The following is a 12,604-nucleotide window of genomic DNA, read 5'->3' on the forward strand; positions in this document are numbered from 1 at the left end:
AAGATTTTTGCTTTAAAAAAATAATTGAGTCATTTAAATGGATGACTTATGGCAACCCAAACTTCTATTAAGTGTTTTAAGCCTTTATAGCTTCAAAATTGTCTCTCCTAACCCCTGACTTTTGGATGCAACAGAGGGCTCCTGGAGCATCCAGAGGAGAGGTAAACAGGATTATTTGACATGTTTAGTTACATAGGATTGTTGAAATAAGGTGGTGGTTGATCTTCAGGTTATATTTTAGTGAAAAATGTTAATGCATGTTCCATTATTGTATGGGATTTCTAGAGTTCTGATGTCTCAGTTTGTGTTATCAATCATAATTAGGGTTATTGTGTTAGATTATTATAAATCACAGAGATGACCAATTTTTTTTTGTCAATTGTGTTTTTTGACTGTAATTACCCAGGATATTTTGACAGTCATAGACAATTGTTTTGTGTGATCCTCTTTAAAGGGTGGATTATAACCCTTGAGTGCAGGTTTCTGGTAACTTTGGAGATTGTGATCGGGAGTTGACTGGGTGAACTGTACTAATGGAAGACTAATCTTTTTTGACTTTTGCTTTTTGCTTGGAACACTGCTGATTCTTATGTTCTGTTTTTCATAATCAAGGAAGTTTTTCTTTTGAGCTATTTGTAGCTTTTAACAATTGTAGGGTGAACCAACCAGTGACCTCAGACTGCAGCTCAGAAGAAACAAGGGATGGGTCGTCAAACTCCAAATGGTCATAAAAATGGAGACTCGGACATTGGCTCCTTTGTACTGGGGACCCTTAGATAGGCCTCTGAGAGAGAAAACTGTCATTTTCCCAAAACAACTTCCCTTCTCAGCATGAAGCAGTTAACAGTGGCCATCATCCCTATACTAACAGCAGTTAGATATACCTCTTCAGAGGGGGGAATGATGGCAGTGGCTGCTGCCATCATGCTGGCTGCAGCAGGGAAGCACGGCTGGGGCTACACACTCCATGGAGCCGGTGGAAGTCCTGACCTTCTGAGTTGGGATGGGAGCTCCCTGGTCTGCTGCAGCTGCCCAAACCACAGCTGCAGAGCCAGGGCTCCAGCTCTACGAGCACTGCTCAGTCTCAATCTCAACTGACTGCAATATCTGCCTCCTGGGTTCAAGAGATTCTCCTACCTCAGCTTCCCAAGTAGCTGGGATTACAGGCACCTGCTACCAAGCCTGGCTAATTTTTGTATTTTGAGTAGAGATGGAGTTTTGCTATACTGGCCAGGCCAGTCTCAAACTCCTGACCTCAGGTGATCCACCTACCTCAGCCTCCCCAAGTGCTGTGATTGCAGGTGTGAGCCACCGTGCCTTGCCACAGAAGCAAAGATTATTCCATTTTGGGCTAGGTTTATAGTTTTGTAAACCCTATGCCAAATTTTGACACCTTACAGTATTTGGCAGGGATAAGTCTGAAATTCCTTGATTAATAAATGCAAACTGTCAAGTGTGTCAGTGTGAAGAGATCACCAGACAGGCTTTGTGTGAGCAAAAAAACTGTTTAATCACCTGGGTGCAGGTGGGCTGAGTCAGAAAAAGAGACAGCAAAGGGAGTTAGGGGTGGGGCAGTTTTATAGGAGTTGGGTAGGTAGTGGAAAATTACACTCAAAGGGGGTTGTTCTCTTGCGGGCAGGGGTGGGGGTCACAAGGTGCTCAGTGGGGAACTTCTGAGACTCATTGTCCAGGAGAAGGAATTTCACAAGGTAATGTCATCAGTTAAGTCAGGAACTGGCCATTTTCACTTCTTTTGTGGTTCTGCAGTTTCCTCAGTCCATCTGGATGTACAGGTGCAGGCTTGGGCTCAGAGGCCTGACAATCCTGTCTTTTTATATTAATAAGTAAAACAAAACAAAACAGTGGTGAAGTGTTAGGGTGGTGAAAATTTTTGGGAGTGGTATGGAGGGAAAATGGGCGATGTTTCTCAGGGCTGCTTTGAGTGGGATTATGGGCGGTGTAGGAACCTAGAGTAGGAGAAATTAAACTGAAGAAAGATTTTGGGGTAAGGGGTGATATCATGGGGTTGTTAGAATCAGCATTTGTCGTATAGAATGATTGGTGATGGCCTGGATGTGGTTTGGTATGAATTGAGAAATTAAACGGAAGACACAAGGTCCAAATAAGAGAAGGAGAAAAACAGGTATTAAAGGACTAACAATTGGGAGGACCCAGGACATCCAATTAGAGAGTGCCCAAGGGGGTTCAGCGTGATTATTTGCTTGGTTGGTGAGTTTTGGGCTCTATCCTTGAGGGTTTTTTTTTTTTTTTATGTTGTCAGGTACTAGGCCAGATTGATTTAGGTAAAAACAACATTCTTCATTTAGAAATATGAAAAGTCCCCCTTTTTCAGCAGTGAGTAAGTCGAGGCCTCAGTGGTTTTAGAGGAAAGAGAAATGCAAAGCCAGCAATTGTTTGTTAAAGAAGGATTAGAAATGGCTAGGAGAGAGACAGTGAGATTGATAGTGTGGTGGAGATAGCTGGGGAGAGGTAAAGGGTGGCATAAGAATGGGAATGAGAATAAGAGTGAGTATAAAAGTAAAGAATAGAACTTCATCAGGGTGAAAGTATTGGAGGGTGCCCTGCCAGCAAAGATCATCTAACAACTCCAAGAGGGAGTCAAGAGTGGTGGTTTGGGGATAGCACCAGGAGATATCAGCTGTGATGGCTTGGAGAAACAGTGTAAACCAGCAGTGTAAACAAGAGCAGGGCATTTATGAGTAGTTGAGAATGGTGAATAGGAGTATGACTAGATAGAAGATAGTAGGGATGACAAGTTTTTGGGGTACAGTCCAAGTAGTGGGGGTGACTGCCTAAAGCCCTGTTGCAAAAAGTAGGGTAAGGATGAATAGACCTAATAGAATGAAGGGATGTATTAGGCTCATAAGGGTTATTACTGTTCTTCAGAAATGCAAGTGTGTTTAAAGGAAGTAGGGGAGAGTACTTGCAACTTCTAGGAGGAAGAGGAGAGATCAGGCTGGCTGTCCAACGAACACAGGGCATATGAGTAAAGTCAACCTGCCAATCTTGTGTTGGAGTAAATCCACGAGCCTGATGTGTAGGAAAAGGAGGAGGCCTGAGAAAATCTTAGGGGCTGGTGGCATGGCAGGCAGAGCATTGAGAAGTGATGGTTTTAAGGATGGATTTCCATGATGGGAAGGAAATGAGGGGCTGTAGGAGGTGAGCCAGAAGCTTATATCCTACATGGAAATGGTCATGAAGGGAAGAGAGAATAGACTGGGCTTGTGAGGCAGGAAGAATGAACTTTCCACAGAGTAAAATAAAAATTATGAAATCTGGTAGAGCAGGTTTTCAGAAGAAGAATAGTTGGGAGTGATAGAGGAGCTACAGGGCGCGGTGCCGGTCCTTGTGTAAGAATTCCAACCGTGGCCAGGTGTGGTGGCTCACGCATGTAATCCCAGTACTTTGGAAGGCCGAGGCAGGTGGATCACGAAGTCAGGAGATCGAGACCATCCTGGTGAACATGGTGAAACCCTGTCTCCACTAAAAATACAAAAAAAAAAAAAAAAATTAGCTGGGTGTGGTGGCGGGCGCCTGTAGTCCCAGCTACTTGGGAGGCTGAGGCAGGAGAATGGCATAAACCCAGGGGGTGGAGCTTGCAGTGAGCCAAGATTGTGCCATTGCACACCACCCTGTGAGACACTGAGACTCTGTCTCAAAAAAAAAAAAAAAAAAAAAAAGAATTCCAACTACACAGCCCTGCACTTCGGCTGTGTGTAATGAAAAAGTGTTGGGATGAGTTAGGGAGAGCTAGTGTGGGAGTAGCTTCTAGGGCTGTTTTTAAGGAATGGAAAGAGTAGTGGGGAAAGGATTTAGGATCTATGGGGTCAGCTAGGTTTTCTTTTGTGAGTTTATATAATGGTTTAGTCAAGATGGTAAAACTAGGTATCCAAAGGCGAAAGTACCTAACCATGCCTAGGAAGGAAAGGAGTTGTTGCTTTGTAGAAGGGGTTGGAGTTTGGGAGATTAGCTGGACACGATCAGCAGGGAGAACACATGTGTTTTTATGAAGAATTATGTCAAGACAGGTAAGGAATGAGGAAGAAATTTGGGCTTTGGAGGGGAATGTGCGATGTCCTTTCGTGAACAGATGTTGGAAGAGCAAGAGAGTGTCCTGTTTGGAAGATGTGTAGGAGGGGCTATAACGTAGAAGGTTGTCATAATGTTCAATAAGGTGAGAAGCAGATGGATGGAAAGAAAGCATATCATGAGAAATGGCTTGACTGAAGTAATGGGGGCTGTCAATGAAGCCTTGCACAGTACAGCCCAGGTAAGTTGCTGAGTCTGATGGGTGTCAGGGTCAGTCCAAGTGAAAGCAAAAGAGGCTTTGAACTGGGGAAAAGGGCAGCAATGAGGTATGGCTGTAGCCTAGGAATAGTCAGGGAAGCAGATAATTTAGTTAAAACGTCTCAACCTAATAAGGGAGCTGGGCAGGTGGGGATAACTAAAGAGTGCATGAAAGAATATTGTCCAAGTTGGCACCAGAGTTGGGGAGTTTTAAGAGGTTTAGAAGCCTGGCCGTCAATACCTGCAACAGTTATGGAGGCAAGGGAAACAGCCCCTTGAAAAGAAGGTAATGTGGAGTGGGTAGCCTCTGTATTGATTAAGAAGTGGACAGAGTTACCCTCCACTGTAAGAGTTACCCAAAGTGTCTGTGATGGTCCAGGAGGCTTATGAGGCAATTGGGCAGTTTCAGTCTTCAGCCGCTAGGCTAAGAAGATCTAGGAAGGAGTCAGTCAGAAAGCCTTGGGCCAGAGTTCCAGGGGCTGTGGGAGTGGCTGCCGGGCAAGTTGGACAGTCCGATTTCCAATGGGGTCTCATACAGATGGGACACGGCTTAGGAGGAATCCCGGGCTGTGGGCATTCCTTGGCCCCGTGGCCAGATTTCCGACACTTGAAGCAAGATCCTGAGGGAAGAGGTCCTATAGTAAGGCCTGGCCTCTGCAGTTTAGGCATTTTGAAGTTCTTGTGTGCTGGAGATGTGGCTGGGGTTTCTCTCACAGTGGAGGCAAGTAATTGCAACTCTTTTCTATCATTGTACACCTTGAAGGCAAGGTTAATTAAGTTCTGTTGTGGGGTTTGAGGGCCGGAATATAATTTTTGGAGCTTTTTCTAATGTCGGGAGTGGATGGGGTAATAAAATGCATATTGAGAATAAGACGGCCTTCTGGACCCTCTGGGTCTAGGGCAATAAAGCGTCTAAGGGATTTTGCCAAACGGGCCATGAACTGGGCTGGGTTTTTATATCTGATGAAAAACAGCCTAAATGCTAACTGATTTGGGAGAGGTCAGCTAAGAAAAAGGAGCATTAACCTTGACTATGACTTCAGCTCCAGCCACCCCTCTAAGAGGAAATTGTTGGGCAGGTCGGGGAGGGCTAGTCGCGGAACAAAACTGTGAGCTGGACTGGGCGTCAGAAGGGGAGGTGATAGAAGGATTATAGGGTCAGGGAACAGAGGCTGAAGAAGAATTGGGACCTGGCTCAGCCTGGCGAGGAGCCACCTGGGAGGAGGGGAGAGGAGGGGAGAGGTCAGATGGGTCCGTAGAAGAGGATTTAAAGGACTTAGCTTGGGGTGGAGACTGAAGGAACAGACAGGAGAGAAAGAAAGATTTGGGATGAGTCGCACTGGGAGCAGAGACTAGGGAGGGACCGATGTGTAAAAGAATGCCTGGATGTCAGGCACCTCAGACCATTTGCCTAATTTTACAACAAAAACTATCTAGATCTTGTAGGATGGAGAAATCGAAAGTGCTGTTTTCTGGCCATTTAGAACCATTGTTGAGTTTGTATTGGGGCAAAGTGGTATTGCAGAAGAAAATAAGGCATTTAGGTTTTTAGGTCAGGTGCGAATTGAAGAGGTTTTAAGTTCTTGAGAACACAGGCTAAGGGAGAAGGGGGAATGGAGGGCGGAATGTTGCCCATAGAAAGGTAGAGACACGGAGAAGTAGGGGGGTGGTGAGCAGCCCTGGACTACAATGTGGATGAGCAGCCAAAGCAGGCATCCCTGCAATTGACTTGCCACTAAGGGAATGTAGGTGAATGACCAAGGCAGGCGTCCCCACGGTGATCAGACACCAATGGAATGTGGGTGAATGATCAGGGCAGGCATCCCCACAATGATCAAACACCAAGGGAAGTCTGTTTTCTCAAGTCCGTGACCAGCGCTGGTGTTTTGGGTCCACAGATAAAATGTGTCTCCTTTGTCTCTACTAGAGAGGAAAATGAACTGGAATTGGAAGGACAGGGAGATTGAAGGGTAGCAAGAGAGGCTAGAGAAGAGAGTGAAAAGACCGCTTACCCGATTTGAAGTTGGTAAGGTATTCCTTGAGCTGGTCTGAGGACCCGAGGTCTTAGGTGGATCTCCTCATGGAGTGATGGTGAGGACAGGGGACCTGTCTTCCGAAGGAGTCTCCCTGTCCTGGGTCTTCGGCACCAAATGTCAAGTGCGTCCGTGTGAAGAGACCACCAAACAGGCTTTGTGTGAGCAATAAAGCTTTTTAATCACCTGGGTGCAGGCGGGGTGAGTCGGAAAAGAGAGTTAGCAAAGGGAGTTAGGGTTGGGGCAATTTTATAGGATTTGGGTAGGTAGTGGAAAATTACAGTCAAAGGGGGTTGTCCTCTTGCGGGCAGGGGTGGGGGTCACAAGGTGCTCAGTGGGGGAGCTTTTGAGACTCATTGTCCAGGAGAAGGAATTTCACAAGTTAATGTCATCAGTTAAGGCAGGAACTGGCCATTTTCACTTCTTTCGTGGTTCTTCAGCTTCCTCAGGTCTTCTGGATGTATAGGTGCAGGCTTGGGCTCAGAGGCCTGACACAAACAAAAATGTATGCTGGCAATTCCTAAGACATTTCTAACATTAATGTAACAATAATTTTAAACCTAGCTCAGTGAGGACTAAATTCTGATTTTATATCTTGCTCAAATTCCTGTGTAAGGGGTCTGGGGAGTCATGCGCTACAAATAATAAATTATTAGATGGTTTTTACTTAACCCTATATATTGTGACTTACTTTCCAACCTGACTGTGGCATAACATTATGAGACAAGGAAGCAAAACAAAATATTTTACCTTAAATCATGTTTCTTTGCCATCTATTGAAATGGCCTGCAAAGCTGTCCTTTGTGGGGTAAAATGTGCATATATAAAGAATCTCTATTAACATAGCTAAATCTTTTTCTTTCAGGCCCTCTCAATCCTAAAGAGATTAACTAAAAGTCTAGCACCCTTTGAAGATCTGAATTGGAAATATTTGTCATCTATTTTCTCTAAGGGCAGCCACTATAAGACTTCAAAAGAACCTTGGTCTCCACAGTGTTTTTTCTTAACCTAAATATTTCCTTTCTATGATCCCTGGTCTTTAGACAAACTCAACCAATTTTCAACCAGAAAATGTTTAAATTTACCTATAGTCTGGAAGCCCCCCTTTGAGTTGTTCCGTCTTTCTGGACCAAACCAATGTATTTCTTAAATGTATTTGATTGATGTCTCATGCCTCCCAAAAATTTATAAAACCAAGCTGCACCCCAACTACCTGGGGCTCATGTTCTCAAGACCTCCTGAGGGCTGTGTCATGGGCCATGGTTACTCATATTTGGCTTAGAATAAATCTCTTCAAATATTTTACAGAGTTTGATTTTTTTCATCAACATTAGTAAAGATTTTACTTAAGTTATGTAAACTTGAAAAAGCATTTGACTATTTTATTTTTTCCTGAATAAGTGTTTGATTTAAGCACTTTTATTTTCTTACGCCAATTAATTAGAGCTCTTTTATATATTTTCAGTAGTGAAACATTGTGTACACAACACATAAATACATAGACACATTAGGCATGCTGATAGAGGTACATCTTTTTTTTTTTTTTTTTGAGACAGAGTTTTTCTCTTGTCACCCAGGCTGGAGTGCAATGGCATGATCTCAGCTCACTGCAACTTCTACCCGCTGGGTTCAAGTGATACTTCTGCTTCGGCCTCCCGAGTAGCTGGGACTACAGGCATGTGCCACCACGCCTGGCTATTTTTGTATTTTTAGTAGAGACAGGTTTCACCATGTTGTCCAGGCTGGTCTCGAACTCTTGACCTTAGGTGATCTGCCCACCTCGGCCTCCCAGAGTGTTGGGATTACAGGCGTGAACCACTGCACCTGGCCTAGAGGTACCTCTTATAGATTCATAAAAAACGTTTTTTTTCCTTAGGCTTTCAGATTCTTTTTTTCCCCTCCTCCCTCCCCGCTACTTTCAGATTCTTGATAACCTGTTTCACAACCCTAGGCAGTTGTCAGCTAAATAGCCTTAAATTTGCATATTAAAGAAAACAACTCAGGTGAACTCCAAACAGCAAAATTTACATTATAAAGTGTGGAGAGAAAAAGTCTGGTGTGCTAGACGGAAATTGAAACAGATTTAATGGCCAATTAAACATAAAATTATAGAAATTATAAAAGCCTTTTAAATACACACACACACACATCCTATAGCTTTTACTTCAGAACTTTTAGCTATGAGATAAATTCAAATTTACCGGTTTGCAAAAAGAACTTGTTGGATCTAAACTGTGGTTTTTATCTTAACAGAAAATAATGGCAGATTTAGAGCAGGCAGAAAAGAATAGAGAAAAGAGGTCTTAGGAACTCTATAATTAGTAGGTCGACCTTAGGGCTCTTTTTTCTTAATGTAAATGTGCACAAAGACCATATTTTTTCCATTTTACATAAACTTTGGCAGTAGAGGTGCCATAAAACCTACAGAGTGCTCAAAAGAGGGTCATTCTCCTTGTTTTCTTCTCATTCTTAGATTATTTGTTTTCCACTTCTTTTTTTCTTAAAAGGAGAAACTGAGCTGTGGCTTAGAGTTTCTGTGTGGTGGATCATCACGTGCTGCTTGTGGGCAGGACTCCACAATGTGCCACCACTGAATGGTTTCCACCCTCTTACATGTCTCAGTTTCTCTCTCCAGAGGTTTATGACTTCTGAGAGGGCTCACAACACTGGGTGATCAGCCCTTCAATGTGTTTCCTGGATGAGCCAGTTTTTAAATTAAATATATATATATATATTTTTTTGAGACAAGGTCTTACTCTGTTGCCCCGGCTGGAGTGCAGTGGCATAATCTTGGTTCACTGCAACCTCCACTTTCTGGGTTCGGGCAATTCTTACGTCTCAGTCTCCTAAGCAACTGGGGTTACAGGCACGCACCACTACACCTGGCTAATTTTTGTATTATTAGTAGAGATGCGGTTTTGCTATGTTTGTCAGGCTTGGTCTTGAACTCATGACCTCAAGTGATCTGCCTGCCTCGGCCTCCTGAAATGCTAGGATTATGTGTGTGTGACCGCACCTGGCCTAAATTAATTTTTGTTGGGGATTTCCCTGCAGGACCACTGCACATCGTTCGGGGTCAACCTTTCAGACACTCCCACAAGGTCCCCAGTCACTCAGGGGCACCTTTCAGTTGGGAGGGGCAAATGCCCTTTCTTTTTGGAGCTGAGAAAACTCAGTCTCTGATATACCTATGAAAGCAACAGTTCAGTTCCTCATGCAAATGCACACAGACAAACGGAATTGAGATTAATGTTGGGAGAAAAAGCAATATAAAGGATCCTTCAGAACGGATCTCCAAACTAGAATTAGGATTTTTTTTTTTTTTTGAGATGGAGTCTCGCTCTGTCGCCCAGGCTGAGTGCAGTGGCACGATCTCGGCACAGTGCAACTTCCACCTCCCTGGTTCAAGCAATTGCCCTACCTCAGCCTTCGAATAGCTGGGATTACAGGTGCACACCACCAGGCCCGGCTAATCTTGAACTTGTGGGGTCAAGTGGTCCGCCCGCCTCAGCCTCCCAAAGTGCTGGGATTACAGGTGTGAACCACCGCACCTGGCCTAGAATTAGGATTCTTAAACAACGACTTCCTAGGAGAGAAAATTAAAAAAAAAAAAAAAAAAAAAAAAGGAAACAGCCAAAACCACTTCCTATAAACTGTGCTCAGCCACCCGTAACTTTGTAGCTCTTTTCCAACAATATACACACCAAGGTCAAATCCTCTCACAGTGCAAGGTCATCTCTGGCACCCAAAGCCAAAAAGGTCAGGTCATGCAATACAGGAAAACAGAGCTTTAGACCTAAGAAGAATCTGCCCATGACTCTTGAAATCCCACAAAGCCAAGAGAACACCCCAAAAGGGGGTGAGTGGCACCTTTGTTCTAAATTCTTTTTTTTTTTTTGAGATAGAGTCTTGCCCTGTCACCCAGGCTGGAGTGCAATGGCACGATCTCAGCTCACTGCAACCTCCGCCTCCCAGGTTCAAGTGATTCTCCTGCCTCTGCCTCCTGAGTAGCTGGGATTACAGGCACGTGCCACCATGCCTGGCTAACTTTTTTTGTATCTTTAGTCGAGACAGGGTTTCATCATGTTGGCGAGGCTGAGTCTCGAACTCCTGACCTCGTGATCCGCCCACCTCGGCCTCCCAAAGTGCTGGGATTACAGGCGTGAACCATGGCGCCCGGCCTAAATTCTTTAAAGAGGTTCAAGTCATTAGAAGCCTTCTCTCGATTTTTTGGTAATGCAGATGGCAAAGGGTGAAGGAGGTATAGGGTGGAAGAAAAGTAAACAAAAGAACAATTGAATTTTTTTTTTTTTTTTTTTTAATTTGAGACAGAGTCTCACACTGTAGCTCAGGCTGGAGTGCAATGGCTCGATCTCCACTCACTGCAACCTGCGCCTCCTGGTTCAAGCAATTCTCCTGCCTCAGCCTCCCGAGTAGCTGGGATTACAGGCACCCGCCACCATGCCCGGCTAATTTTTTTTGTATTTTCAGTAGAGACAGGGTTTCACTATGTTGGCCAGGCTGGCCTTGAACTCCTGACCTCGTGATCCGCCCGCCTCGGCCTCCCAAAGTGCTAGGATTACAGGTGTGAGCCACCGCGCCCGGCCTAAGAACAGTTTAATTTTTAAGACCAGGAAGCAAACACAGAAACCAAATACATGGTTTTTTGTTTTCTGTTTGTTTTTTCTTTTGCAGCTGTGAGGAATTTTACTCAAATTAGATAGGCCTTGTTACCCATAATTTGGAATTCTCACTTGGATTTGACCAAGTGAAGTAGAGTTGGTCAATGGGAAAAAGACAAACAAAATAAAAAAAAACCCAACAATATGATCACTGAGCACTCTAATGGTAAGCAGAAATTAAGACCAGCTGGTTGTTAACTTTAGCCAAGACAAAAATCCCTATTCAGCTACTTACCTAGGGGTGCGTCTCAGGCTGAAAACGGCTGTCTACCATCCCAGAAGTAGGAAAAAAACCCCTCATCTTCCCTGTTGGAAGTGAGCTCAAACTCCATAAAAGAGTTACCTGCCTTCCCTCGTCATGGAAGCAGGAAAACTTGCCTTCCTTGTTGGAAGCAAGTAAAACTCCAAAATAATAATAATAATAATAATAATAATAATAATAATAGAGGGAGTTGTACAACAAAATGAACTTTAGATCTCGACCAAATTTTGGGAGATCAGGGATTCTCTGGAGGGGGTGCTCCTAGACCTTAGCAAATTGTCCTGTTGGTTTGAGCCATGGAGTTAGCTCATGTTGGTACCAAGCATGGATAGGAGATTTGTCAAAGATCAGAGGTATCTCCACTCACAATCCCTCCGTGGTTACCATCCTTCATTCAGTAAATATTTACGGACTGATTACCATACACTAGGCACTATTCCAGACATTGGAGATACAATGATGAGCATAAAAAACGGTCTAGATAAGAACTGAGGTCTCCAGACATACTTTATGCCCACTCAGTTTTGTCTTTTGCCCTAGTTGCTAAACAAAACTTAACTTTGCTGTGCGGTGCGACTTCGTTAACTTAAAATTACAGGCTGTCAGCTATGACCGCTAGACTCTAAGAAAGTCCAGTGGAAATCCTTCAATGAAAAGAATCTGTTCTTGGGTGGAAGCCCCGCTCATGCAGGAGGAACAGAGGGCTTCCATTCTCGCGTCACACAACTGAGGGTCAACCCCTTGCTCCCTGCAGTAAGCCTGATTAGTGGGCGGAGCTTCCTTCAGGATCGCAAGAAAGAAAGGAGGAAGGGGACCCCGCCTCCTACGTGCTCGCGGGGGGGGGCGGGGTCGGTGGACTGGGCGTGAGTTAATTGGCTGGGGGGCGGGGCACCACGGGTTGGCTCCGCCCAGGCGCTCGCGCGGATCCCGGGTGGAATGACGGGAGGGAGTCCCGGCAGCTCCTACCTCCCAGCGATGGCGTCGCTGTGCCGCGCCCAGTCCCCAGCCTGCCGGCCGGTACTCACCGCTACCCGGAGTTCGCTCAGACGGTGAGATTTGGGGCGGGTCCGAGGCAGCGGCGGGACGCTACCTGCGACCGGGACCATGAGGAGCTGCCAGACCCGTGGGGCCGGTAACGAGAGCAGTCGCGGCACCTGCTGAGAGGAAAGAGGGAGCGGTCCGGCGCGGCTGGGGCGCGGCAGAGGCTTGCCCGATCCTCGGCCATGTCACTGCTCTGCGTGCGCGGTGAGTGCGCGGACTGAGGCGGGGAGGCGGGGTGTCGGCGTAGAGGTCCCCGCACCCTTCCAGTGGACGTCCGG

At 45.3% G+C, this 12,604-nt stretch overlaps 1 protein-coding gene and 1 long non-coding RNA gene across 11 annotated transcripts in view, besides 2 other annotated features; one reads left to right on the forward strand and one right to left on the reverse strand.

The window, feature by feature from the left end:
• Positions 1–1,485: 1,485 nt before the first annotated feature.
• LOC124902147 (uncharacterized) lies at positions 1,486–6,659 on the reverse strand. Of its 2 annotated transcripts, none has more exons than XR_007061469.1 (2): positions 6,321–6,659; positions 1,486–1,824 (listed from the first exon to the last, which is right to left on the reverse strand). It is a non-coding gene; the product is annotated as an uncharacterized LOC124902147 (long non-coding RNA). The 2 variants fall into 2 exon arrangements; XR_007061468.1 differs by having other exon boundaries at positions 1,486–1,828.
• Positions 8,040–8,593: an enhancer, noted in NCBI's record as "OCT4-NANOG hESC enhancer chr9:35157812-35158365 (GRCh37/hg19 assembly coordinates)". NCBI's record gives its function as "activates a minimal SCP1, AML or CMV promoter by ChIP-STARR-seq in primed H9 embryonic stem cells {active_cell/tissue: H9 hESC(primed)}" and the evidence as "EXISTENCE:reporter gene assay evidence [ECO:0000049][PMID:30033119]".
• Positions 12,100–12,229: a silencer, noted in NCBI's record as "silent region_19863". NCBI's record gives its function as "represses an Ori minimal core promoter by ATAC-STARR-seq in GM12878 lymphoblastoid cells {active_cell/tissue: GM12878}" and the evidence as "EXISTENCE:reporter gene assay evidence [ECO:0000049][PMID:35858748]".
• UNC13B (unc-13 homolog B) overlaps positions 12,234–12,604 on the forward strand; it is a 243,327-nt gene continuing 242,956 nt past the window's right edge. For all 9 annotated transcript variants that reach the window (NR_170667.1, NM_001387551.1, NM_001371189.2 and 6 more), the window contains exon 1: positions 12,234–12,530. Coding sequence is in view for 8 of the 9 variants with exons in the window: in NM_001387551.1 (NP_001374480.1) it covers positions 12,509–12,530 (22 nt within the window). In the remaining variant the exon portion in view is untranslated. The remainder of the gene's footprint in view (positions 12,531–12,604) is intronic.

This window comes from Homo sapiens, chromosome 9, assembly GCF_000001405.40.
Source record: "Homo sapiens chromosome 9, GRCh38.p14 Primary Assembly".
Classification (NCBI taxonomy): Eukaryota; Metazoa; Chordata; class Mammalia; order Primates; family Hominidae; genus Homo; species Homo sapiens.